General features: G+C 52.0%; 1 protein-coding gene across 3 annotated transcripts in view, besides 4 other annotated features; it reads left to right on the forward strand.

Moving 5' to 3' along the window:
* Positions 1-233: 233 nt before the first annotated feature.
* CDH4 (cadherin 4) overlaps positions 234-27,657 on the forward strand; it is a 688,357-nt gene continuing 660,933 nt past the window's right edge. Inside the window, exons 1-2 of one of the 3 annotated variants that reach the window (NM_001794.5) lie at positions 234-543; positions 2,799-2,910. In NM_001794.5, coding sequence (NP_001785.2) covers positions 487-543; positions 2,799-2,910 — 169 coding nt within the window. In that variant the 5' untranslated portion in view covers positions 234-486. Of the gene's footprint in view, positions 544-1,570; positions 1,661-2,052; positions 2,116-2,798; positions 2,911-27,657 lie in introns of those variants that run through there. The other 2 variants (XM_047439812.1, XM_047439813.1) reach the window with 2 other exon arrangements.
* Positions 2,338-3,030: an enhancer, noted in NCBI's record as "H3K4me1 hESC enhancer chr20:59829421-59830113 (GRCh37/hg19 assembly coordinates)". NCBI's record gives its function as "activates a minimal SCP1, AML or CMV promoter by ChIP-STARR-seq in naive H9 embryonic stem cells {active_cell/tissue: H9 hESC(naive)}" and the evidence as "EXISTENCE:reporter gene assay evidence [ECO:0000049][PMID:30033119]".
* Positions 10,217-10,728: an enhancer, noted in NCBI's record as "H3K4me1 hESC enhancer chr20:59837300-59837811 (GRCh37/hg19 assembly coordinates)". NCBI's record gives its function as "activates a minimal SCP1, AML or CMV promoter by ChIP-STARR-seq in primed H9 embryonic stem cells {active_cell/tissue: H9 hESC(primed)}" and the evidence as "EXISTENCE:reporter gene assay evidence [ECO:0000049][PMID:30033119]".
* Positions 15,631-16,161: an enhancer, noted in NCBI's record as "H3K4me1 hESC enhancer chr20:59842714-59843244 (GRCh37/hg19 assembly coordinates)". NCBI's record gives its function as "activates a minimal SCP1, AML or CMV promoter by ChIP-STARR-seq in naive H9 embryonic stem cells {active_cell/tissue: H9 hESC(naive)}" and the evidence as "EXISTENCE:reporter gene assay evidence [ECO:0000049][PMID:30033119]".
* Positions 16,162-16,692: an enhancer, noted in NCBI's record as "H3K4me1 hESC enhancer chr20:59843245-59843775 (GRCh37/hg19 assembly coordinates)". NCBI's record gives its function as "activates a minimal SCP1, AML or CMV promoter by ChIP-STARR-seq in primed H9 embryonic stem cells {active_cell/tissue: H9 hESC(primed)}" and the evidence as "EXISTENCE:reporter gene assay evidence [ECO:0000049][PMID:30033119]".

A 27,657-nucleotide genomic window follows, 5' to 3' on the forward strand; every position in this document is an offset into this window, starting at 1 on the left:
ACACCCGCGCCTTTTTCCCCTGGAAAACGAGCGTCCTTGGCCTCTTCGGCCGCAACCGGGCGGCTCCAGACGTCCAGGAGGGCAGAGGCTGGGCTGGTGCGGCGCGGGGGGCGCGGGCGCGGGCTCTGCGCCTTTAAGGCCCGCGTCGGCAGAGCGAGCGCAGGGGCCGGGCGGCGGGGCGGGGCCTCGGCGGGGCGGCCGCGGCTTCACCTGCAGCTCCGAGCGCGCGGAACAGAGGCGCGGGCGGCTGCGAGGCCGGCGGACGCACCGGCCCGAGGGAACGCGCCGCCGGCCGGACTTGGCCTGGCTCCCGGAGCCGGGGCGGCGAGCGCGGCGGGCGCAGCGGGGCTGGAGGCTCCGGGCAGGCGCGGGGGAGCGGCGGCGGCGGCGGCGATCGGAGCGGCGGCGGTGGTCTCGGCGGCGGCGGCGGCGGCGGCGGCAGGGAGCGGGCTCCCGGTGCCGGGCACCGGGCGGGCGGCGGGGAAGATGACCGCGGGCGCCGGCGTGCTCCTTCTGCTGCTCTCGCTCTCCGGCGCGCTCCGGGTAAGTTGCCGCCTCCCGCCCCCGCCGTTCGGAAGCCCCGGGCAGCGGGAGGTCGTCCCCGGATCCCGCGGGGCGCTCACACACCCGGCGGGGCTCTCCCGGGCTCCCCCGCCGCGCTCCCCGCTGCATCCAGCCCGGCGCCCGCGCTCGGCGAAGCTGCCTGCGGTCGGCAGGAGCGGGAAGCCGCCTGGGCAGCGGGGAGCGGCGGAGCAGGGTGGGAGTGGGGCTCGGTGGAGGACCCGGGGAGCTCCGCCTGCACCGGACCCGCCGAGCCTCCCTCGAACGCCCAAAGCCCGTAGCCGCTACCCGGAGCTCGGCTTGCCTGCATGGGGCAGGCTTCCACTGGCGGAGCCGGCGCGCCCTCCATCGCCCGGGAGCCGCGCGCCGCGGGAGTTGCCGAGCCCAGCCCCGGCCGTGGCTGAAGGCGTGGGGCGCCCGGCGGCTGCGGGCCAGGGATCCGCGAGTGCGGGGCGCCTGCCCGACCTCTCCTGCCCAAGGCCTGGGGGTCCGTCTAGCGGCGCCGCTCAGTTCTGTGGGTGCCGGCAGGACCCGCGCTGCGGGTGGGCGGCGGGGTAGGACTGCGGGGCACTCTCACCCCCGAGCCCTCGGCGGGGCTGGAGCCTGCGTGTCCGGCGGGGCCCCGGGGGCTGGGAGCTGGGCCGGGCTTGGGCCGGGAAGCCGGACGCCGGGCGGGCGCGGCGCGGGAGGGCGCCCCGGGAGGGCGAGCGGGTCTCCCGCTGCCTCTGCAGAGCCCCGCGGGCCGGATTGCCAGCTTTGCTCTGCGCCTGGCGAGGTGCGCGGCCCGCGGGGGCAGAGAGCGCGGCGGCTCCGGGGGCGCCCCTGGGCGGAGGCGGAGGGGCGGCGGGAGTTGCAGGAACCCCCTCTCGTGGCCGATCGGCCTCGCTGCCTTCTCCCGGGCAGCGCTGTTGTAACCTCGGAAATAAACAAGTGCCAGCGGCGGGAGGCCCGCTCCGAGGCCGCGGGGCGCTGGGGGACGCGCTGGGCACACGCTTCGGGCGGGCGGAAACTTTCCTGGGCGAGTTGAGCCTCCCACCGGGCTGCGGGTGCGATTTGGAGCTTCGTGGCCGATGAAGAAAGCCGCGGTTTAGAGCTTTTCGTAAGGAATGACCCTGCGTCCCGCTCTCCTCCCTCGGTGCTGGGGGTAGAGGGGCGCCCTCCGCGGTGCCGGCGTCGGGAAGCCTGGAGCTCCGGGCTGGGGGCGGCCTCCGGAGTCGAAGCATGGGCGGGCGACGGCAGCGCGCGGAGCTGGAGGAGGCGGCGGGCGGGAGGCGCCACTGCCCGGTGCGGGCTGCACCCGAGGCTTCCTGCGCTCGCCGGGGAGCCAAGCACCGCTGTGCTCCTGCTCCTTCAGCGGGGCTGGCTTCCCGCTTGCACACACTGCCTCTCCCTCCACCACCTCCTCCTGCCTGTCACGCCCCCTCCCAGAAGCTTGGTCGGAGGGCCCTGTCGTCCACCCCATCCTTCCCTGGCCCTGTGCCATGGGCTCTAGACTTCCCCACTGAGCAGGAAAGGCGAGCGAGCTCCGGAGGACAGGAGGAGACCCCCTTTCCGGTCAGTTAGGGGAGCCGTCTCCCTGCCTGGGCTGGAGATGGGGGCTCCGAGGGTGAAAATGCGGGCTGAAGACTAGAAGGTGGAAGCGCCCCCACTGCCTCCTCACCCCAGCCACCGGCAGCCTCCCGCAGAGCTGCCTTCTTCGACCGGCTCCGGACCTAGTCCTAGAGAATCTTCTTCCTTTCTCTCCTCTTTCTCCTCCCTCCCGGTGACCTGGAGAGGAGACAAGAAGCTGCCTCCTCCGCCTTACCAAGAGCGCAGAGCGGTGGGCCTAAAGCGCGAATGGTCTGAGCAGAGCCGCCCACACTTTGGCCTCCCTGCCCTTAGTGGCTTCGGGAGCAGCGGCTGAAGTCTTCTGTCTCTGCCTTTTGGTCATTTCTCAGGCGTCTCCTCTGCCAATAAGGCCCTGGCCGGCCTGGCTTCCCCAACAGTCCGTCCTTCACTCCCTGCCTGCTGTGTGTGGGGCTGGGGAAGGATGCTCCTGGTCTGTAGCCTGGAGAGTGCTCCCTAAAGTCCCCAGAGAGCAGAGGAGCAGACGGGGTATCGCGTCTGGGTGGAGACGGTGGCCTGCCAGCCTTTCTCTCTTAGCCAGAGACCTTTTACACAGCAGGCCCTGGATGAATGTTGGTTGGATTAAATTTCTGTGAACTTATTGTTTTACACTCTCCCCTTTGTGTTCTCAGGCCCATAATGAGGATCTTACAACTAGAGAGACCTGCAAGGCTGGGTTCTCTGAAGATGATTACACGGCATTAATCTCCCAAAATATTCTAGAAGGGGAAAAGCTACTTCAAGGTAAGGCGGGGTGTGGAGGGGTGGGAGTGAATTGCTGCCATGCTTTTCCTTGGGGAAACATGTAGATGGGAGAGGCAAGGCTTGCCTCATCTTTGTGCTCTCTGTGAAATGATGGTGGTGAAGTCCACGAGGTGCAAATTGGTTGACCTGAAAGGCGTTTTGCATAACAGGTGAATGATTCAGAACCCCGGTCATTTTTGAGTGAAGTGAATCATTTCCTGGGCAGCAAACTGTAATTCGGATGTAACATCACCCAAATAGTGTGCAGAGAGAGACCTTCTTACCAAGTATTTTTATGCATGAAGTTCTGGATACTTAAATTATCCCTGCTTTGAAATGTATGATAAAGCAGACGATGTTGTTGGAAATGCGGTAAATAAGCCCACAGACGGTCTGTTCACAAATGTGGCATTCATTTTCATTACTGCCCCACTGACAACACGAAAACACACATGCAGGAGGGAACTACCAATTAGCTTTATCGTAATTGCAGGATTATATCCACACTTGTGATGGGAAAGTCAGAGACAGCTTCAAAACTCAGATGACAGTAGATCATCCTGCTTATTGGTCTGTTTCCCTTTCAAGACAAACTAATTAGACTTTATATTTGCATAGGAGGGGACATAAATCAGTTCTGTGCCATGAGCACCTTGGCTGTGAGCCTTTCCTCTCTGCATCAGTTTCCTGGAAGTGGCAGCCTTTGAATTGATTTCAAAGCGATAGAGGAAGAGGACTTTTGATAAAGTATCGAAGCTAAATTTCCACATTCAGGACTGTTGACTGCCCTACCGGTTTTGTGTCCCAGGGAATGTAAACTTTTCCCTCCAGAACTGACAGCGGTTCCTGTGTATGTGTGTGTGTGCATGCATGTGCGTGAACTCGCTCACGCTTATAGTGAAGTGATTTTTCAGATCCTCGCCCTTCAAGACAGAACTTGTTGACGTGCCTTGTTGATTCCTGGTTATGTGGATAGGATTTTTATTTTGCACCGAATCCAAGTTTTCTGACTTAGTTTTTTTATCTAAACTGTGATACTACTGACTCATTAATCATCAAAAAAATAAAAAATCTCTAGGCAGTCGGCCTAGGAGCAGAATAGATGTGCAATCTAACAGGGCATACATAGTAAAGAGCTTTCAAGAGCTACTCTGTTAATTGCACTGTGTATGTCACTTTGGAGTTAGAACGGGTAGGCCATTTTCAGGATCGTTTGGTTTACTGAGAATCTCAGTGGACTCCCAGAGAAGGCCTGAGGGGATCCTTCACTCTCAGTGCGTTGGACGGTCTCTTATAACTCGTGGGGCACTGACTGCAGTCTGCTGTGTGCATGTCCTGCTGTGCTGAAACTGGCATCCTTAAGTTCTCTGATTATGTGGCCAAATATGATAAGACCTTGGAGTATCCATTTTACTCAGGCACTTCAGAAAAATGCCTCTCTTTTTATTAATAAATACTGCTTACTACAGAAGAGAATGACAAATTCTCATGCTTTCTACAACGCAGCGTGAGATTTCAAACAAGGATCTCTTCCCTTTCATGGTGTGTTGTGTGGGGATATCTGCTCCAGTGGTCCAGGCCAAACCGTGCTGTGCTCTTGATCAGTGTGGTGGGAAAGCCTAGATCACTGGCCGGATGTCGGCCTGGCCCCTGTGCCCAGGTGGTGTTCGCCTCGTGGGGGGCCAAGAGTCACATGCCCCTGGGTGAATCTGGACCAGCTCAGACATTGTGTGGACTCATTTTCCAAGTGCCCGTTGACTTACGTGTGCAGCCCAGCCCAGGGCTGGTTCAGGGAAGCATTGCAGAGAATCTCCCAAGCACCTGAGCATGCTGGGTCCTCTCTGACCCTCCTCTAGGGGCTGTAGTCGCATTGCTTCTCCTGCGCCTGTGTGGGTCCCCTTCTCACTGTTTTCTTCCACTCGTTCTTCTGAAGGTGTAGAGTCTCAGGAAGAAAGAGATGTTTTATATCTTACAAATAATTTTGCACATATGGAGGCAAGAGCTAAGGCTGACAGGCACTGAAACGAGGGCACAGTGACATTTCTCTCTGTACGCAGAGTACTTTGAAACTACAAGACCACAGTGAGGAGGCCTGTGTGAAGAGGAAACAGGAAGTGTGGTGTTTCTGTTATTCTGGTAGGAATCAAGTTAAACAGATAATGACTACTTATAATTGAGTTATTCCAGCGGAGAGAGCTTAACCTTAATTTGACGAGTGAAGCTTCACAGAGTGGCCATGTTCCTCTGAGTAGGCCATGAGCTATCAGCGACTGCTCCGTGGCTCCTTCTCTTTGCCTGAGTCAGCTCACAGCAGCCCCAAACATACAGATTCCAGCAGGAGCGATTTGTTACACGGTAATTAACTTGTTTATGATAAATGGATGGAAGAAATGTCGTGGCATTTTGTTTTATGTCTAAATGAAAAGCATTTGCATTCTAAAAATTTCATGCTAATTAGGCTGGAAATAGTTTTCCCCAATAGGGTAGCAAATACTATGTATTACGAACCTTCCGAGAAGCGGAGCCGCGAAGTATGGAAATGCGGGACTTCGCTGCTGATCGGAGCCTTCCGAGACGCCGCTCCTGTGTCCCCTGCCTGCGCTTTTTCTGGAGAGCATTTGAATGCAATTGCATATACTCTTATGCTGTACTTTTGTTTTTAGGATAATTCACTTATGGCCCTGATCACTGATGCATGGCCGTATCTAAAATAGGACGGTGAAGCCGTTTGCCTTAGGCTAAAATGCAGTGTTCTCTAAACCGTAGTTTAGTCTGGGGTGATGGCTAAGCTGGTATCTTTTTCTCTGCTTTGTTAATAATTAATGGCCAGCCCGCCCGGAAGCTGCAGCCTGGTACGGTGACCTGCATTGCTCTCCCGCGTGGTGGGCGGAGTCTAGGCACACCCAGACCCGATTCATAACTCGTAGAGGCGGGAGAGTCCTAGGTGGCATAGTGGGAACCGAGGGCTCCCGGGTCGTATCTCCCCTCTATCCTGCAACGAAGCGGGAACAGGTGAGTGGAAACGCTGTTCACTGGGGATGGGGCGGAGCCTGGCATCCTCAGATTAACATGGGTACACTATGGGCCACAGAGTATAGAAAGAGGAGCTTGGCTGGGTGCGGTGGCTCACGCCTGTAATCCCAGCACTTTGGGAGGCCGAGGCGGGTGGATCACGAGGTCAGGAGATGGAGACCATCCTGGCTAACATGGTGAAACCCCGTCTCTACTAAAAATACAAAAAAATTAGCCGGGCGCGGTGGCGGGAGCCTGTAGTCCCAGCTACGTGAGAGGCTGAGGCAGGAGAATGGCATGAAACCAGGAGGCGGAGCTTGCAGTGAGTCGAGATCGCGCCACTGCACTCCAGCCTGGGCAAAAGAACGAGACTCCGTCTCAAAAAAAAAAAAAAAAGAAAAAAAAAAAAGAAAGAGGAGCATGTTTCTAATGACTTAACGTGACGTCCTCAGCAAAGCCTTGCCTCTCCCCGTTTCTCAGTTAGTTTAGGACCATCTTGTGTACCCTCGTACCACCCTCTGCCTCCTTACTGGAGAACTTACATTATCTGGCCAATCATCTCTCTTACTTAAACTCTCTGGTTTCTGAGGGTAAGAGCTCTGTCATTCTTATTTCTATTTATATCATTTCAGGATGTTCTTGGCCAACAGAATAAAACCCAATTCACATAATCTTAAATAAATGGGAGTAAATTTTTCTTACATAACCGTGAGTGCAGACATAGGTGGTCACATGCTGGAACAGCAGACAAGGGACACGGTCATGTGCCTGCCTAATCCTCTTCTTCCATTCTGCCATCTTTAGTGTGTCATTTAGTGCCTCGTCACTGCAAACTGGCTGCTGTGGTTCCAGTCGTTGCTTCTGAGTTCAGAGCAGAAGAAGGTGCAGATAGTAGCACCATCTGCATTTCTTCCCTGTACCAGGAAGACAAACACTTTCTCAGAATCCCTGCAGAAGTTTTCATTGACTAGGTCACAGGCCACTCTTAGCTAAACTGATGGGGGTGGAGCACTGGGAATGCAGAGAATTGCATTGTCATGTGTGTCTTAGATCCATTATAATCCATCACATGGTAGGTGTCCAAATTGCTCGTCTCAGAACAGAATTGGGGCTTTGTTTTAGGAAGGAAGAAGGAGGGATGGATGCTGAGTAGACCTTCCCCAGTGCCCAGTGCTGTACCCGAAGCAGAGTTGACAGACAGTGAATTGCTGAATGAGTGAATGACTCATTTGCATACAAAGGCATTCAGACAGAGGCATGGTTGAAGAGAGATCAGATGCAGTGTCTGGAATCCATATCTAAGAATCTGCCATTTCTGCCACACTGCATGGCCAGAAGTACTATTATCTTGTCTTTACAAGTAGGTTGAAGATAGGCTCTTTGCCCATGCAGTTTGGTTTGAACCACCTCTGCATAGATAGGCAACTCTTCCAGGGCAGACACATGCTAGATACACAGGCAAGAATGTCATCCCATCTCCCTGCATAGCCGATGTCCAGCACCGGCCTAATGCATGGTGGCTGTGAAGTCAGTATTAGTCAAATAAAGTAATGAATGAGCCGGAAAATACTGACACTGTTCGTGTTTCCGAGTCGCTTTGGTTAACTCACAGCAGACAGGGAGCTGCTATGAATATTCCCATAAGTGGCACTAATGATAAGCCAACCACATATGCCTGGAATTATTAGACACTGGAAGTTGCCTGTCCAGTATTGATTCTCTCTCTCTCTCTCCCTTGCCAACAAACCTCATCTGTGCTAGTCCATTGGCTGACAATGTGCCCTGTTTAATACACCTCTAGACTCATTTACACCAATGTGGCAATGTGGCTTCTTTCTGGTCACCGGTATCTAATTAGGTTAGTCTATTAGGTTAGGCTTTGGGGAAAGCTGTTTTTATTCTTGATAACAAGGAACAAACTGAGCTGGCCATGCCTTCCACCCTTTGCTCTTACTTCTTCCTCCTACCTGGAACTCAGATGTGATGGCTGAGGGAAAGCAGCCATTTTGTGAGTTTGAGGATGGTGGAACACAAATTGGGTCCCAGAAGGCATCCTCAAACAATGGCAGAGCCCTGGACTCATTGTCTCCTGAGTGGTGAGAAAAATAAGGTCAAAACACCACGCTTGGTTTTGTTGTCACATGCAGCCTCGTGCATTCCCTGACTTAGGAAAACTGCACACTAGCAAAGTCAAACTCTGTCCTGAGCCTAGGTTTTCAGGCTCCCTCTACCCTCCAGTGTTCCTTGGACCTTGGCCACTTGCTCTTGCTTTAAAGGCCCTCCTCTGCTCCTTTTGTGAATTGATGTCTGCACCTAGCACACTGGATTGCAGAGAGCATGTCATGAATACTTGGTAACTGTTTGTTGAATAAATGAACAGTCACTACTCCACGCTGTCTTATGCCCAGGAGATGAAAGAACCCTTAGATATATTAAGCCGGGACTATCTGAACCCCCACCAGAGAATGTAAACTCTTTGCTGGATCTCATAGTGATGCTTCTCCAGGAAGTCAGGAGTTATGTATTGGGGGTTTTGCCTCTGGTCACAATATCTACTGGTTCTAGGGAACCTTGGTCTCTGTAGCGAAGCAGAATTATGTGAAGGCTGGGTGGGACTCAGACCCCACTGGTGGCTTGGGTGAGCTCAAAGCCCAGACTTTCTTGCTGTCAAAGTCAGAGGACTACTTCTTTCTGAGCACCCAGACCCCCACTGCCTCCATGGGTGGTCACTTCAGGGATCCCCAAAAATGGGCACGCAGAGCCCATGAGGGAGACCGTGGGATCTCTTTGGCCATCTCTGGGGGTGGTCCTTGCCTTTTCAAGGGGCCGTTATTGTTTGAGGTTTCCAGCAGCTTTTCCCTCTTATAGTTTTGTCTGGTCCCAGGGTTAAGAGGTTCAGAAAGGGAAGTATATATCCTGTCTTTAGAAAGTGGTTGCTATCAGATAAAAGGTAGGAGCGGCCCAGGAATAAAGCACAGAAAGCGCTGCATGGTGCATCATCTGCAGGCCAAATCCCACTCTGAGAGAGGGTCCTGGTAGCCCTGGTTAGAAATAAAGCGAGGCAGAACACTGCCGCCCCGGGCTCTGCACAGCCACTTGCCCCTGTGTGCAGCTGCTTCTCACAGCTCTGCCTTCCATCGCAAGAGGGAGCTGTGGTCAGTGGCCCTGCTGCTACCCAGGAGGAATCTAGGCTCAAGGAGGTGGCCACACCTGCCCCAGATTCCTAAGTCAGTGGTTCCTTAGTCAGTGATTCCTAAGTCAGTGATTCCTAAGTCAGTGGATCAGGATTCCCACCCTGCAAGATTCCTAACCGCTGCTTCTCTATGCTCACTGCCACTAAGCAGACCCCCTTCATTGTAGAAGGCAGTGCATGCACCAGCTACAGAAATGAGGATGTGTGAACTCACTGACGCTGTGACTTAAAGATTCAGGTTTTGCGTTTGAGAAATATGTGTTTTAATGAGTCTTCAGATGAGGGAGCATGAGGCTTTGCAGAATTATAATATAATAACATTATGTTCTGTCCAGTCCTTGGTATACGATATCTCATTTAACTTTCACAAAAGCCCTTCCAGGGAGGTAAAATTGTTCTCATTTTATGGATCAGTAACTGATGATCGGTGAGTTCTGGAGATTGGCCTAAGGGTAGGAGATTTGCTCTGTTTTCCCTCTTTGTGCAGTCCTAGGCACTTAGCTCATTCCTATCTCCAAATTAATGTTAAAGAAGATGGTTTTAGAGCACCACTGTCACGTGCAGACAGGATCGGACCCAGATGTTCAGGGCCACAGCCATAAGACCAGCAGTGACCAGGCACACAGGTATGTGCAGTAAACAGAGGCCCTCAGTGTGTCAGAAAGTGCTTGGTTGCAGTTGCTCATGTATAAGGCTCAACTGAAGTGGGTCTAAACTCTCGACACCGGGGGTTTGCAAAACCAGCCCTGGGATTAGAAGAGCCCGCGGCTTCTGTGATGCCAGTGGGAGCTTTCAATTCTGAGCATGCAGCGAGCAGTCCCAGAGCCGAGCTCTCTCTCGGATTTTAGACTCTGCCAGCGCTGGGGAAGCCGGGCAGAGAGGGAGCAGAGAGAAGAGTCCGGCTGGTCCTGGAAGCCCTGAGCACGTTCCATCTGAGCTGGGTTTATGCACGGATCCATTGTTGTCAACACTCACGTTGTGACATGGGGCACCAGGAACCTTAGTGAGGCCGGTTACAGATTGAGAGAAAGTGCCACGACTGTGCAGCTGGCCAGCCGGGGCGGGGCTCCCTGACGGCCTCTCTTGAGCTGATGCCGTGAGAGCTGGTCCTGAGGCTGCCGTGGCCTTTCTGCCCATGTCGGGGTCCTGGGTGTCTGCAGAGATCTCGTACTCTAAGCTGAGAGAGAGCAAGGTGCTTGGTATAACTTGAAACAGTCTGAAGATGTGGTGCTTTCCGAGGTTCACGTGGGTTCCCGTTTTCTGCCAAAACCCCTTGCGGCGAAGCCCCTTTGCACGCTTTTGCCTCCAGGGGTGGCCTTCCTGGGCGCAGGGTCACTTCCACTCTGGGACTGCGTGGCGACTGGGTTGGTGTAAGCTTCCAAGACCTGTGGCTTCTTTGTTTCAGAAATAATGATTTTTCTAATTCTACCCTGCAGTGTTAAAAAATCACAATGAAATTCATAACCAAGTTCAAAGGAAGTGTATTTGGTGTGTGCATCCCTGTATTGTGTGCTCCATGACACTAATTTCAAAATGTGGAAATTTTGTGACTTCTCTTATGTTGCAAATGGAGGTGGATAAAGGAAAGGGCTTTTTCCTCCTTACCTCCTTACCTCCCACCCTCCTTCCTCCTTCCCTCTCTCCTCCCTCCCTCCTTCCCTCCTTTCCTCTCTTCCCTCTCCCCTTCCCTCCCCTTCCCCTCCCTCCCTCCCTTCCTTCCACCCTCTCTCCCTTGCTCTCTCCCTCCCTCCCTTCCTCCTTTCCTTCCTTTCTTTTTTCTTTGAAAGCTGGGTTAAGTAGATGCCAGGACTAATCATGAACTGAGAGAGAGAGAGAGAGAGAGCAAGCAAGCATTCATCTTTTCAAAAAGTGTGCCTATTATTCTGACTTTTTGAAGAAGTAATTTCTCCTCCAAGTGAATTCCACTATAAAAAATACCATAAGCCGAATGAAGCTTCTTTCCGTCAAGGGCGGTAAAGTTCTCCCCGGTGTGTTCTTGTAAAACCTCATGGCATTTGCAGGCTCCTTCAGTCCCCAGAGTGGGACTGTGGTGTCTGGCAAGCTGGGCTGGTAAAATCCTTGGTTTTTCGTCAAAAGGCTCAGAATTTTGGTGCCTTTTTGCCCGGGCTCTGGGCTGCCCTCTCCTGGTGGCCTCCGGTATTGTCTCTGGCTGGTGTCTGCTTTCAGTTCTTAAACAAAAGAGAACAAACCAACCAAAAATCCCTATTTAATTATCTTTGACCCAGTATGTGCTCCCCGAGGCCATTTTCCTGGCAACCCCCACATCAGGGGCCAGGAAGGAGGGGAGGAGCTGTTGTTTGGGGGGACTTACCATGTGCCAATGTGTCTTCTCATTTAACGCTGTCAGGAGACCTGCAGCCTAAGGTAGTTAGAAGGCATGCCCCAGATCACTCGGTATGGGCAGGGGACTTTGTCTGTATGTTTTTATCTCCCACACTGCCTTTTCCAGGAGGAATTTACTTAGATTACAAATTGTATTATTTTCTTATTGCAGTATAAATCCCCACATATGTAGCAGCTTAAACAACACAAAGTTATTATCTTGTGGTTCTGAAGGTCAGAAGTCCAGCTCCAGTCCCTGTGCTGAAATCAAGGTGTCTGCAGGGTGGGTTCCTTCTGGAGGCTCCTGGGGAGAATCTGTCTCCTTGTGCCTCCCAGCTCCTCAGGGCTCCTGCACTCCTTGGCTCCTGGCCGCTTCCTCCGTCTTCAGAGCCAGCCGTGAAGCATCTCTGTGCCGTCCTCCAGGGTCATTGAGGGTCACTGGTCACATCCACCTCTCTCTACATCCTTCTCTTCCACTTGTAAGAATCCCTGTGATTACCTTGGGCCTCCCTGAGTAACCCAGGATAATCTCCCGTTGCAAGACTCTTAATTCAGTCACCTCTGCCAAGTCCCCACTACCACGTGAGATCCCAGGCTCACAGCCTCCGGAATTAGGATGGGGACATCTCTGGGGAGTCGTGATTCTGCTGACCACATGCGTGTCTGACGACAGAGCAATCCTAGCAGGTGTGTGTGGGAGTTTCCCACTGGCTTCCGCACACTAAGGACTTGCTATGCGTCCCACACTGTGCGGTGACCTTCATTCAACCCTGCAGAACCCAGTGGTTCCTTCATTCAGTCCTACACATACCTCAGTGGTTCCTTCATTCAATCTTACACATATCTCAGTGGCTCCTTCATTCAATCTTACACATATCTCAGTGGCTCCTTCATTCAGTCCTACACATACCTCAGTGGCTCCTTCATTCAGTCCTACACATACCCCAGTGGCTCCTTCATTCAGTCCTACACATACCCCAGTGGCTCCTTCATTCAGTCCTACACATACCTCAGTGGCTCCTTCATTCGGTCCTACACATACCCCAGTGGCTCCTTCATTCAATCTTATACATACCTCAGTGGTTCCTTCATTCAATCTTACACATACAGTGGCTCCTTCATTCAGTCCTACACATATCTCAGTGGTTCCTTCATTCAATCTTACACATACCTCAGTGGCTCCTTCATTCAATCTTACACATATCTCAGTGGCTCCTTCATTCAGTCCTACACATACCCCAGTGGCTCCTTCATTCAGTCCTACACATACCCCAGTGGCTCCTTCATTCAGTCCTAGACATACCCCAGTGGCTCCTTCATTCAGTCCTACACATACCCCAGTGGCTCCTTCATTCAGTCCTACACATACCCCAGTGGCTTCTTCATTCAGTCCTACACATACCCCAGTGGCTCCTTCATTCAGTCCTACACATACCTCAGTGGCTCCTTCATTCAGTCCTACACATACCCCAGTGGCTCCTTCATTCAGTCCTACACATACCTCAGTGGCTCCTTCATTCAGTCCTACACATACCCCAGTGGCTCCTTCATTCAGTCCTACACATACCCCAGTGGCTCCTTCATTCAATCTTACACATGTCTCAGTGGCTCCTTCATTCAATCTTACACATACAGTGGCTCCTTCATTCAGTCCTACACATAACTCAGTGGTTCCTTCATTCAATCTTACACATACCTCAGTGGCTCCTTCATTCAATCTTACTCATATCTCAGTGGCTCCTTCATTCAATCTTACACATACCCCAGTGGCTCCTTCATTCAGTCCTACACGTACCTCAGTGGTTCCTTCATTCAATCTTACACATACCCCAGTGGCTCCTTCATTCAGTCCTACACATATCTCAGTGGCTCCTTCATTCAATCTTACACATATCTCAGTGGTTCCTTCATTCAATCTTACACATATCTCATTGGCTCCTTCATTCAGTCCTACACGGACTTCAGTGGTTCCTTCATTCAATCTTACACAGACCTCAGTGGCTCCTTCATTCAGTCCTACACATATCTCAGTGGTTCCTTCATTCAATCTTACACGGACCTCAGTGGCTCCTTCACTCAATCTTACACGGACCTCAGTGGCTCCTTCATTCAGTCTTACATGGACCTTAGTGGTTCCTTCTTTCAGCCTTACATGGACCTCAATGGTTCCTTCATTCAGTCCTACACATACCTCGCAATCTTACACAGACCTCAGTGGTTCGGGGTGGCATCTCCACTTCACTGTTGAGGAAACTGAGGCATGGAGCCATTGAGTGACCTGGCATGAGCTGTGGGTCAGGGAGGTCTATCTGAAGGAATGCTCCAGCACTTAGCCACAGCCCACTGGTTCTCAGCCCGTCCTGCCTGGCTCCAGGAGCTCCTGCCACCTGCCTTATCCAGTGGCTATAATTAGGACTCAGAGGGGCAGTGTCCCTTGTGGGTCCTGAGGTGGGGATTTGCTGCTTTGGAACTCCACAGGGTGAACTGCCTGGGAAGCCCATAGCAGCTTCCGATCTGGGCCCTTCTAACTCTTCCTCGTTTGGATTCACTGTGCTTTCCTGCTGAGAGTATGTGGGGATTTAGGGAGGATTAAGGTAAGCCTTCCATGACAGATAAATATCCACAGGGCCCCAGAGTGCCGCCCGCACCTTGCTAACAGGAAGCTGATCCTTGAGAGTTTGGGTGCTTCCCAGCCCAGGAAAGATGGCCCTGGTACAGCCGCAGGTGTTGAGAGGTGTGCTTTCTCCTGGAATGGGTGCATTTTCCATATGGAGTATGATTTAATGAATTTCCAGCCCCAGAGTGTGGGTATTGGACACTCTGTCTCTCCCCAGGGGAGGACCTAGCTCTCTTTGTCTCTGGAGAAGGCAGAGGAGAAAGGCTTGCTTTCCAGGCCTCTTTTCAGGAGTGTGCCCTTGGGTTTCTGTGTCTGTATTGGAGAAATGTTGACATTTTTTGCTTTGCGTTTGTTCTGGCCACCCAAATGTGAGTTGAGATGCCATCTATATTGATGTGCCTAGAAAAGCAAGAAGGAAGGTTGGTGCATGAGTTTGCTAGGTATGAAGTCCCCGACTTCCGCTTCCAGGAAGGTCCAAGGAGAAACGCAGGCTGCAGCCCCCGATAGGGTGCAGAGAGATGCTGGTGGGGAGTCTGGAGAGGGATGAATTGGGTGAGGGCCCTTCCTTCTCTGGACCTCAGTTTCCCTGTGCAAAGCAGAGGGGTAAGATGTCCAACTGTGGTCCAGGAACTCCCTGCCTGGGGGGTGCTTGCTAAACTCGCCAGCCCCGTGGGTCCTATCCCAGACCTACTGGAGGGTGCCGACAGTGGCCCACAAAGGATCCATCCACGCAGAGCCTCCAAATGTAACATTATTTGGAGAAAGGGTCTTTGCAGATGTAATCAGTTTCAGAATCTCTAGATGAGATCATCCTGGATTACCTGGGTGGGCCGTAAATCCAAGGACAACTGTCTTGACAAGAGACAGAGAAGACACAGACTTGGAGGGGGAGGCCCCGTGAAGTCACAGGCAGAGATTGGAGCAATGCAACCACAAGTCCAGGAATGCCTAGAGTTCCTGGAAGGTGGGAAGGTCAAGGAAGGACACTCCCCTAGAATCTGCAGAGAGAGAGAGCAGCCCTGTTGACACTGGGATTTCAGACTTCTGGCTTCCAGAACTGCAGAAGAATACCTTTCTGTTATCTGAAGCCACCAAGTTTATGGTCATTTATTACAGCAGTCACAGGGAACGAATCCACCCACTGAACTGGGAATCCTGGGACTGTGACCTGGGACTCTGCTGTTTCTCTCCATCTCCCAGGGAATCCGATCTTTGCGAAAGCATCAGGGCTTCAGGCTTAGAGGATGTTTAGCCTCCGATTCCCCAGGGGCTGCATCCCTTGAGAGAAACCGTGTTACCTGGGAAGGTGTCTGCCGAATGTAACCAGCATCTCAAAGTGCAGCTCAGGTGGGCGGCTTGAAACAGTGCTGGGTGTTTCCATCCCACCAGAAAGGCAAATGAGGCACTTTAGTGTAGTAATGGGGTATTTTATATTGTAAAGCATGACATGGAACAATTTCATTGGAATTAAAATGTATATGGAACATTTGTTCTCCACCCATTATCTTCCTCTATCAAATGGAATCTTAACAAGGATTATAGCTCAGATAATATCACATAGATATACTGTAAATATTTTGTTAATCTAAAGGTCTGCGTTGGGGAATGGATCGTTCAACAGAGACAGAGAGGAGAGGCACACTCCCTCTGCTGATGAGATGTGGAGGGATGCAGAGAGGAGCTGGGCACTCTCTGGCGTTTTTAGAACATGCCTCTTCTCTGCCCAAAACCGCTTTACTGTGGAAATGCAAAAATATTTTATTTCTGGCTGCAGGAGTCTCCTGTCCTGTGTTTCCAGCAGCTGTGTGTCTGCAGCCTGGCTGAGGGTTCGCACACAGCTCAGGAAAGCGGCTGCTGAGTCTGGCTTCAGGGCAGATCCGTGTCCCTCTTGCAGCCTGTGTTGCAGCGGGCTGATTGCAGACGTGGGTCTGGGCCTGTACTTGACAGGGGAATGCTCTTTGTACCCCTAAGGGTCTTCTTCCGACATGTGTGGCTGTGGGACACACAGCCTGCCCTCCCATCTCTCTTTCTGTGTTGGGCAGCTGGAGAGCCAGTGCCTGGAATGGGAGCGGGCCTGGCTGGCCCAGGGGGTGGCATGTAGCTGGATGCCAGAGCATCTCGGGTCCACCCACCTCTCCAGCATGGATCCCGAGGAGGGGCTCCAGGCCGAGGAGAGGAGAAGGCACCTCTGGCTGCGCTTGACCTTGTCCTGCTCATGTCTCGGAGCATCTCAGCCAGAACCAGGAGGCAAAGCCAGGCAGTGGGAGCCGAGTGGGACCTGCACACGGGGAGGCCCAGGCCAACAGGTCAGTGGGCTGAATTGCTTTTTCCTGATGCCGGGTTGGCTTGCATCAGCGAGAACTTGAAAGAGGAAGATACCTTTTCTCCTGTCTTCTTGTTTTCTTCAGGGGGTGCTATGGTTTGAGTATTTGTCCCTTCCAAATCTCTTGTTGAAATGTGATCCCAGCTGTTGGAGGTGGGCCTGGTGAGTGTTCATGAGTGGTTTGGTGCTGCCCTTGTGGTAATGAGTGAGTTCCCACTCTGTTAGTTCCTGGGAGAGCTCATCCTTATAGAAAGAGCCTGGCACCTCCCTCTCATTGCTCTTGCTTCCATTCTTGCCATGTGATCTCAACACATGGGCTGCCCTTTGCCTTCTGCCATGAGTGGAAGCTTCCTGAGGCCTCCCCAGAAGCAGATGCCAGTGCCATACTTCCTGTACAGCCTGCAGAACCATGCGCCAAATAAACCTCTTTTCTGTGTCACTTACTCAGCCTCAGGTGTTCCTTTATAGCAACACCAATGGATTAAGACAATGGGATATTACCAAGGCTCTGGACGATTTGTGGGTGGGGACAGCCGCTGGTGTTTGACTCCTGCATCCTGCAAATGTGATGAGGAGTGTTGCGCAGACACCTTGGGTGAGCATCAGAACCCCATGGAAAGCCCTGTGGTGGTCCTGGGGCTCGGCCCCACTTGAGGGGTTAACAGCACCACTGTCTGTTGTTCTGGTCCACTGATGGAGCCCTCCCCATGCCGGGTGCTGCACCGTACCAGCTGGGTTCATCTGCATGACCACCCTAGGCAGGAGGCATGTTACTAACCCTCCTTTCACAGAGTTGGGGTGCTGACATAGGACAGTTTGGCACTGCCACTACCTTAGTGGCCCTGGAGGAGCCAGGATTGATGGGGGGCAGCCTTCAGAGCCCAACCCTCCACCCCATCCTCTGTATCACCTTGGAACCAGCCCCCCATGGAGACCTGGTATACCCCGTTGCCTGGAGAGTCCACATTTCTAATCCTTAGCCATCAGCTCTGTGACACTGGACCATTTTGTGGCCTGTGTGACCTTTCCTACCTCCATAGGAGGGAGATGCCAGGTCCATCTCATGAGGGCCTGGAAGACCCAGCAGGGTGATCCGTGTCCCTGTGTATGGAGGCACCAGGCTCTGGAAACACCAAGGCTTGCTGGCTTGCTCTTATTTATTAATTATTTATTAGTTATAATTATTTATTTAATTAATTATACTTATTTATTAATGTAAACACATCAGGCCCTGCTCCGCCAAGCAGACCCCAGTCCTGCCAGAGCTGCCCTCCTGCTCTCCTCCTCCTCTTCTGGTCCCTGTGAAGTGACCTGCCTGGCTGCTGATATTTGGGAAAGGTGAGTTGCTCTCCCAACCCCAGGCTCCAGAGGCTCCCGGCGGGGAGACTGTCAGATAGCAACTCCATGTTCCCGACGCATGACCGGACCTCCAGAGCCAGTGGTACTCATTTCCACATGGCCCCGGCTGTTGACGATGACCTTAAGCTCCCCTGACCAATCTCCTCCAGAATCTGGCCCCCAGATGTGGAGAGGGCCGGCCGACCTTTGCGGCAGTCATTTTTCCATCAGAAGGTGGCTTGATTTGATGGGTTTTATGGTTTTGTTTAGATACTTTCTCCCCTAATGGTCTTTACATTTCTTATGTGTGGCCCAAGATCTTTTGGCAAAAGGCAGGCTTTAAAAATTGAATAAATAAATTATGGAGAATGGCTTATTTAAAGCTCTGTTAGGCTGATGGGGGAGAGAGGCGGCAGTGAACGTAAGTTACCGGCTATCGTTATTTATTAATCAGGTGTTGGTATGATTGGATTACGCCGTATCCTATTTAATGCTTGGGCAGCGATGAACTGATGGGGTTTAGAAGTAAGTTGTTCTGAGGATAGGCCTTCTGCAGCCTGCAGCTTCTTCTCAGGTTATCTTATTCTTTTCCATCTTCCCTCAGATACAAAGAAGGGATTATATAACTTGTTTTATCTAGTTCTTATATTTTAAGATAAAAATGGAATACCAGTGCTGGGCCGAAGGCTATAAAATTGTGATCAAGAGTCCGTAAAATTATAGAACTTATGTTTTCTTGAGAAGAGAGAGGATTCACAATGACTTTTTCCTTAAAGGTGCTGGACACTTAAGGACTGACCCGCACAGACGTGTAAGATACTCTTCCATGTGGAGCAAAAAAAATAGAGTTATGTGCTTGAAAGGTTAATGGCTGGTAAACGTCAATTTTCTTCAATCCTGGCTAATAAAAATAGCTTATAAGACATAAAATGTCATGCTGCCAAAATTACAGGGGCCTTTGAAATCCATTTTGAAGTCTCGTATCCTTCGTAAATGGTAGTGGGGTGGGGGTAGTGTGAGCTTCAAGTGTTTTTTTGTCATGGTTGAGTGATGGCACCTTTGCGGGGAGGTCGAGGCAGCTCTGGAGTGGTGAGGATGTCTTCCTGTCTTCCTCTGGGGTGTTTTTGGGTTAAACGTTTACCATCCTCTGGATTCATAGTCTGGGAAACTTTCTGAGGCACATCTTTATTGCGGTCGATCTAGCCGCCCTGACACACTTGGACCCTACGGGGCAATGTTAAATACTATAAGCACAATATTCTCTAAAAATCTCATTTCTAAATATGATGGCAGTGACAGGCTTTTGGTAGAATCCCTGACATTAGAATGGGTCTGTCTTCACTTTTTGGGTTGGAATTTCAGCACGTCAAGATTTTGGAACTCTCCAGGGTTTTAAAGGGATGGACTGGGGGGCTGGGAGAATAAGGACTTCTTCCTATCGGCATCTCTACCCCCATGGCCCCATCTCATCTGCTTTACTTGGGATGCAAGTTTGAGGGGACAGCGCAAAGGTTCTGCGACGAGAGCAAATGTGGAGAGCCTGGCTTCCGAAATAATTGCTGATCGTGAGTTAATTTCCCAGTGCCCTTTGGGGCTGGCATCCTCTGCTGTATTAAATCCAGCCCATTGACAATGGCGCTCCTTCTTCCTAAGTGATAGAAGACAGCCCTCAGCATCCAGCCCTGCTGAGTCAGCACAGCAGAGAGGACAGCGGGCTGTCTTTGTCATTTCTTTGTGAGCAGAGGATTAAATTGCCCTGTGGGCTGGCACGGAGCCACAGGCCGTGGCTTTGCATCCTACAACGTGAGGCCCCGGCCTGGGGGTTCTCAGGTCTGTGCTCACATCCCAAACATCTCCCACGCTCTCCCCCGGCCTCTTCTTACAGCGGTGCGTGAAGCCACGTGAACTGAACATCAGAATTTGATTTTTCCACCCCACCAACCTGGAGGTTGTGCCTTACCCTGGGCAAGTGAGAGAAGGTGCCCCTCACGAGATGGTTCTGTCACAACGCCATGGTCCTGGTTTTGCCTTTTTGCAATGGAAAGATGAAAACGAGGTGTCGCTGAGCTCTCCCCTCAACGTGCCAAGATTCTGTTTTCGGGGATAGGCTGGGACTCCGGGCTGACCCACATGGGTTTGCACGTGCTATGTTTAAACAAGGCAGCTCGCTGATTGGGGGCAGGGTGGGCAGGGAGCCGTGTGCATGGAGGACGGCCAGAGAGAGCGGGGGACCGGGAGGCAAGGCGCTGCTCTTGTACTTGGTGGCTTCCTTCTTTCACTTAAAATTGTGTCATTAATGGCTTTTCCTCCTTTTACAAAAGAAGCCCCAAGAAGAGTTTTTTCATGCCAGGCCTCCTCCTCCTCCTCTTGGCAGCCCCGAGGCTGCAGCCTGCTGGCACTCAGGATTGTCAGAGACATGCCCCATTGTTGGATTCTAAAAGGAGGATTCTGGAAGGATATCAATCTCCGACTTGCACATAAAAAGTCCCCCAGTGGCTTTCTAAGGTTGTGGCTTCAAGGAGGCACTAATTAATCACTTCCTCCAGCCCCAGTGGAATGGAGGGGCTACTTCTGAGATAGGGAGGCTGCAGTCGCCCCCTGTCTATCTGCTCCTCTCTGCCAGGCAGAAAATTACATTATTTCCTCATTTTGAAAGGTGCTTGTTTTGTCAGGAAGACATCCCTTCCGTGCAGTTATCTAGGAATTGTCTTATTGCATTTCTCCCTTATCAGTTTTGAAATAATATTATTTCCTTCTTGCTTAAATGCCATATGGGTCAAAACTTTTGTTGCTGGAAAATGGCACCATCAATGAATGCATTGTTTGTTGCAGAAGTTCCTGGTCACCCTCAGAGGTGATAAATGCCCAGTTTAGGGGATACCATGGGCAGTTTGAGGGAGTACTATGCACAGTTTGGGGAAGTACCCTGGGCAGTTTGGAGGATTACTGTGTGCAGTTGTTTGGGGGAGTACTCTGTGCAGTTTGGGGGAGTACCATGCGTAGTTTGGGGGAGTACTGTGTGCAGTTTTGGGGAGTACCATGCACATTTTGGGGGAGTACTATGTGCAGTTTGGGGGAGCACCATACGCAGTTTGGGAGAGTACCATGCGCAGTTTGGGAGAGTACCGTGTGCAGTTTGGGGGAGTACCGTGTGCAGTTTGGGGGAGTACCGTGTGCAGTTTGGGGGAGTATTGGGGGAGTACCATGTGCAGTTTTGGGGAGTACCGTGTGCAGTTTGGGGGAGTATTGGGGGAGTACCATGTGCAGTTTGGGGGAGGACCACGTGCAGTTTGGGGGAGGACCATGTGCAGTTTGGGGGAGTATTGGGGGAGTACCACGTGCAGTTTGGGGGAGGACCATGTGCAGTTTTGGGGAGTACCGTGTGCAGTTTGGGGGAGTATTGGGGGAGTACCATGTGCAGTTTGGGGGAGCACCATGCGCAGTTTGGGAGAGTACCTTGTGCAGTTTGGGGGAGTACAGTGTGCAGTTTAGGGGAGTACCGTGTGCAGTTTGGGGGAGTATTGGGGAAGTACCATGTGCAGTTTGGGGGAATACCATGTGCAGTTTGGGAGAGTACCTTGTGCAGTTTGGGGGAGTACCGTGTGCAGTTTAGGGGAGTACCGTGTGCAGTTTGGGGGAGTATTGGGGGAGTACCATGTGCAGTTTGGGGGAGGACCATGTGCAGTTTGGGGGAGGACCATGTGCAGTTTGGGGGAGTATTGGGGGAGTACCACGTGCAGTTTGGGGGAGGACCATGTGCAGTTTAGGGGAGTACCGTGTGCAGTTTGGAGGAGTACCGTGTGCAGTTTGGGGGAATACCGAGTGCAGTTTGGGGAAGTACCATGGGCAGTTTGGGGGATTACTGCGTGCAGTTTTTTGGGGGAGTACTGTGTGCAGTTTGGGGCAGTACTGTGTGCAGTTTGGGGGAGTACCATGTGCAGTTTGGGTAAGTACCATGGGCATTTTGGGGAAGTACCATGGGCAGTTTGGGGGAGTACTGTGCACAGTTTGGAGGAGTACCATGTGCAGTTTGTGGTAGTACCATATGCAGTTTGGGGGAGTACTATGTGCAGTTTGGGGGAGTACCATGTGCAGTTTGGAGGAGTATTGTGTGCAGTTTGGGGGAGTACCAAGCACCCTTTAGGGGAGTACCATGTACAGTTTGGAGGAGTATTGTGTGCAGTTTGGGGGAGTACCATGTGCAGTTTTGGGGGGTACCATGCACAGTTTGGGAGAGCACCATGCACAGTTTGGGGGAGTACCGTGTGCAGTTTGGGGGAGTACCATGTGTAGTTTGGGGAAGTACTGGGGGAGTACTGTGTGCAGTTTTGGGGAGTACTGTGTGCAGTTTGGGGGAGTATTGGAGTACCATGCGTAGTTTGGGGAAGTACCATGTGCAGTTTGGGGGAGTACTGTGTGCAATTTGGGGAGTACCATGTGCAGTTTGGGGGAGCACCATGCACAGTTTGGGAGAGTACCATGTACAGTTTGGGGGAGTACCATGTGCAGTTTGGGGGAGTACCATATGCAGTTTGGGGGAGTACTATGTGCAGTTTGGGGGAGTACCATGGGCAGTTTGGGGGATTACTGCATGCAGTTGTTTGGGGGAGTACCGTGTGCAGTTTGGGGGGAGTACTGTGTGCAGTTTGGGGGAGTACCATGTGCAGTTTGGGGGAGTACTTTGTGCAGTTTGGGGGAAGACCATGTGCAGTTTAGGGGAGTACCGTGTGCAGTTTGGGGGAGTATTGGGGAAGTACCATGTGCAGTTTGGGGGAATACCATGTGCAACTTGGGGGAGTACCGTGCACAGCTTGGGGGAGTACTGTGTGCAGCTTGGGGGAGTACCGTGTGCAGTTTGGAGGAGTACGGTGTGCAGTTTGCAGGAGTACCGTGTGCGGTTTGGGGGAATACCGAGTGCAGTTTGGGGAAGTACCATGGGCAGTTTGGGGGAGTACTGTGTGCTGTTGTTTGGGGGAGTACTGTGTGCAGTTTGGGGCAGTACTGTGTGCAGTTTGGGGGAGTACTGTGTGCAGTTTGGGGGAGTACCATGTGCAGTTTGGGGAAGTACCATGGGCAGTTTGGGGGATTACTGCATGCGGTTGTTTGGGAGAGTACTGTGTGCAGTTTGGGGCAGTACTGTGTGCAGTTTGGGGGAGTACTGTGCACAGTTTGGAGGAGTACCATGTGCAGTTTGGGGTAGTACCATATGCAGTTTGGGGGAGTACTATGTGCAGTTTGGGGAAGCACCATGCGCAGTTAGGGAGAGCACCATGCACAGTTTGGGGGAGTACCGTGTGCAGTTTGGGGGAGTACCATGTGTAGTTTGGGGGAGTACTGGGGGAGTACTGTGTGCAGTTTTGGGGAGTACTGTGTGCAGTTTGGGGGAGTATTGGAGTACCATGCATAGTTTGGGGAAGTACCATGTGCAGTTTGGGGGAGTACTGTATGCAATTTGGGGGAGTACCGTGTGCAGTTTGGGGGAATACCGTGTGCAGTTTGGGGGAGCACCATGCGCAGTTGGGGGGAGCACCGTGCGCAGTTTGGGGGAGCACCGTGCGCAGTTTGGGAGAGTACCGTGCGCAGTTTGGGGGGAGTACCGTGAAGCAGTTTGGGGGAGTACTGTGTGCAGTTTGGGGAGTACCATGCACAGTTTGGGGGAGTATTGGGGGAGTACCGTGTGCAGTTTGGGGGAGTACCGTGCACAGTTTGGGGGAGTATCATGTGCAGTTTGGAGTACTGTGTGCAGTTTGGGGGAGTACCATGCACAGTTTGGGGGAGTACCCTGCGCAGTTTGGGGGAGTACCCTGCGCAGTTTGGGGGAGTACCATGCGCAGTTTGGGAGAGTACCATGCGCAGTTTGGGGGAGTACCATGCGCAGTTTGGGAGAGTACCATGCGCAGTTTGGGGGGAGTACCGTGTGCAGTTTGGGGGAGTACCGTGCGCAGTTTGGGGGCGTATCATGTGCAGTTTGGAGTACTGTGTGCAGTTCGGGACACCTGACTGTGCTTTTCTGAAGGATCCTGGATTCTGAGTATCACTGGGGGTGGAAGCAAACACTTATCTACTGATTTGCTAACATATTGCACTGTTAATCTCAACTTGCCTTCTCCCAGTGGAACTGCTCTTGGTGAGACTGTAGCTTCTCTCTAGGAAGTGATTTGATTTTTGATGTAAGGAAAAGGATTAGTGTGGCTGGATTTTGATAAGGCTGGCCGCCTGGCACATCAGCGACACTCTCATCCCATCAGTATCACTGACAGCGGGTTCGTTATGCAGGAGCACTGCAGAGCGGTGATACGGGACGTGCAGAGATAATTGTAGTTTTGCTATTTAAAAAATAAGTCTAGTGCTTTACAATGTTTAAGTGATAACCTGTTTAGAAAAACTCACAGTGCCTGTCTTTTGGCACAGAAAAACCTCTTCTAGCAGCTTGACTTGGATTTTATTAATCTATTTTTATTTTCCTGAGTATAAATTGAAGTCTCATTTCTGTTTGAACTCTTAAGCTAGAACTTAAGACCGGAAGTGCACATTTGCACTTTCAAACTCAACATATTTCCAGGGGTTTTATAGCAATGTTGGGCTTATGCCTTTGCTTTTCAGTGATCTCCAGCTTTGAGATTAGATGCACTTGGTTAGACTCAATGTAAGTAGCTTGCTCTATGGTGGGTGTTTTTTGATCAAGGTGCTAATCTTGGTGTTTACCTGGGGTTGTGAGAAGAGAGGATTAGGAGGCCGCACTTGAGCAGTGGCTAAATCCCATGCTATGTCGCTGCTGTCTTTCTGTCCCCACCAGGAGAATGACAGGGCCGTGCCTGGCATCCCTATGCCATTCTTGGGATGATGTTCTGTGACTCTCTCACTGGCTTTGCTGCTTCTCTTGTGGCCAAGTCAGCTGTTTTGATGGGATGGACATCCATGGAGGCCAAGAATGGTGGTCCTGGGCAGTGGAGATTCCATCACTGTGGCTCTAAGAACTCCACGGGGTCAGGGGCTGTTGGGCAGAGGGAGGCACAGGAGCCAGCAAGATGCTGCACTTTTCATGAATGGATCACATTGTTCATTGCTGTTATTGGGGTTTTACTTCCTAGACACCTGTGGGTTCCTGGATATCAAAGTAGTTGTAGTCATCTTTGTCCCATTCAGCAGGGGATCCTAGAGACTCTCAGGTTCTCTAAAAGCTTTGAAGGCTCTGCTCTATGCAGATTAAAGTCCAAGTGCACCATTCCAGGCCCTCCATGCAGTGGTCCCCAGGCCTCTGTCCCTTTTTCCCTGTCACACGCCCACCCCCTTCTAGGCACCAGCACTGGTCTGCCTGCTGAGCTTGCTAGAACTTGCTAGCCCTTCCCTCATGTGTTCCTTTGTTTTGGCTGCCACCTCTGACTGGCTTGCCATTTCCCCTGTGGGAATCTTCCAGGGCTTCTGAATTTAAGAGTTACTCCTCCACTGAGCCCTCTTTTGCGTCCTCTCCCTTCCCCTCTACCTGAGCTAAGTAAGATGAATTATTTCCACCTCTTTTGTCTCAGTTTTATTAAAGTGTATAATGATATAATGTTTTTGTACTCTCTTCTGCGTCTTCCTAAATTGTGGCCTTGTTGTGACTTTGTGTGTGCGTGTGTATGCATGTGTTAGATAGCAGCGAGAGAAGTGTGAGGGGTGTGTATGATGGAAATGGGGAGAGAGAAAACTACCTCAGTGCACTCACATGAAGCCTTCTTCCCAGGAGGGAATCTTCATAATGAAAAGGAGAGGAGCCTTCTCCCACCTCGTGGAGGGGGTGGCAGTGGTGGAAGGCTGGAACTGACAAGCAAGGAAATATGAAAGGATTATAATTGGAAAAAGATGGGCATAAAATGAAAAAGCCAAAGTATGTTTTATTTTGCACCTGTGTATTCGGGCTTGCTCGGTTTATTTATTAAGCCGTTATCAAAGTAAAGTAAGACAAGTGAGTCTTAGTCTAATGAAATTGCCCCTCTGTGGGCCATGTTGGCATCAGGTATCCAGAGCATAATTGGATAACAATGACAATTACTGTGTCGGGAGTTTCAGCACTGGACGGCCTCCGCTTTCCTGTGCTTTCTGTGCGGTGTAGCTCATGAGCGTTCTGATGGAGCAGGGGAGGGCCGGCTTTTCCAGCTCTGGTTCCGACTTGGAACTGCAGGGTGGGTGCCGATCGGGCCTAATGGGCCCTCACATCTCAGCCCCTGGCGTTGATCTCAGATTCAGAGCCTGCGTTATGGCCCAGGTGAAAAGCACGTCTGTTGCCATTTGATAAACTTTCACTCAGTGGCAGTTTGCCTGCTCCGGGCATCTGTGAGCCAGGCAATTGTCTGTCTTGGGGTCAGGGGGCCAAGGAGCCCCACCTGTGACTCCTGCTTCATTTTTTAAAGTATGGACTCATTGCTTCTCCTGCCAGCCATCCTTCCCTGAGTAACTCCATTGCCTGTATCATTTCACTGCTGAGAATTGGGCACCTCTGTAAAAATTATATTGACCTGCAGGAACTAAGATCTGCAAGTGCCTGTGTGCTTAAATGTGCAGGAATCAAACTGCTTGGCTGATAACCTTTTATTGATTCATCTCCTTTCACTGCTTTGATGAGCCTGAGGCCTCCTCAGATAAGGAATGGATGTGCTGGTGTTGTGGCCAGGCATGGAAGTTCTGACTCTAGATGTTAAAATGATGTGTTTGCAGACTGAGGACATGCACCTTTATCACGGTCCGTGGCGACCTCAGGCTGTGGCCCATCTGGCTGCATGGTGCAGCTGCCCCTTCTGCTCTGAGAGGCAGAGGCCCTCTTACGCCTGGTGCTCAGCCCTTGGGAAGTGGCTCAGCTTCCCTTTAGAGTCTCCCTGAAGTGTCTACAATAATTGTTCTGAGAATGTTCAAAATGCAAGGGAAATAGAGGCCATTTGGCAGGGACTTTGGGAGAGAAGGGGAGTGGTCCATGCAGGATCTTTTCTCCCCTCGAGAACAAGGAGCTGAGACTTTGCTGGCTCCCCCTCCCCAGTCTGTGGGAGCCCAGTGGATAGAGGAAGAGCAGCCTCACAGCAGTCAGGCCTGCCTGGGCTGGCCGTGCCACTTACCTGGGAGGAGTTGATTTGAGGGACTTCTCTTCATAGGTGGCAATGGCAAGTATTCTTACTGGGGAGATTCATGATTGACTTCTGGAGGCTTTGCCATAGCAGGGTTCATTATGAGCAGCTGAAAGTGGATGCATCTGCCAGGGGAGCTGGGACCAGCGTGCTGAGAGTGGAGGGGCTTTGTGGCTCCCTTCTCTCTTATTCTAAGATCCTCCCCACAGGCCTCTATTTTGAGGGATGAGAAGCCAAGTAGGCATGACTGACGTTCCTGAGAGCTGCCCCATTAAAGTCTCCGTCACAGCCTTTTATTAAGCATGTTATTAAATGAGCATCTGGGAACATTCTACGTGGTGGGCAGAGCCAGGCTCCAGAGGGACACGGCGAGGCACTCATGCTGTCTACCTGGCCATAACCCTGCCCCAGTGGGGCTTCCTGGACTCCCTCCCACCCACTTGGCTAGAACTCATTGGCCCTCCTTCCCTTTCTTTGGTTAGCACCTACCGAGCCTCCTCCCAGGCAGCAAGGAAACCTCGGCCTTTTCCCAGAGGGGCCTGGCAGCCCCTGCGTCTCTGGACCTCTGCTTTAGGGAACTGGCCCTGGGGTTTGTGTTACCCTCTTTCTCCAGCAAGAGGCTCAGCTCCTAGGGGTGGGGGCGGGGCCTTCCATTTCCCACAGTCACCCATGGGCGCTGGCTTCCTGAGTGGGGGAAGGCTCCTGCATCCTCTGTCTAGAGCAGGTCACCCTCAGTGTCCCCAGGGATGGGCCTCGACAGCAGGGAGCAGTGAAGCCAGGACTGGGGGTCTCCACGAAAGCGCAGAGGACATTGTTTCCCGGGAAC

The sequence above is a fragment of the Homo sapiens genome, chromosome 20, assembly GCF_000001405.40.
Source record: "Homo sapiens chromosome 20, GRCh38.p14 Primary Assembly".
In the NCBI taxonomy this organism is placed as follows: domain Eukaryota; kingdom Metazoa; phylum Chordata; class Mammalia; order Primates; family Hominidae; genus Homo; species Homo sapiens.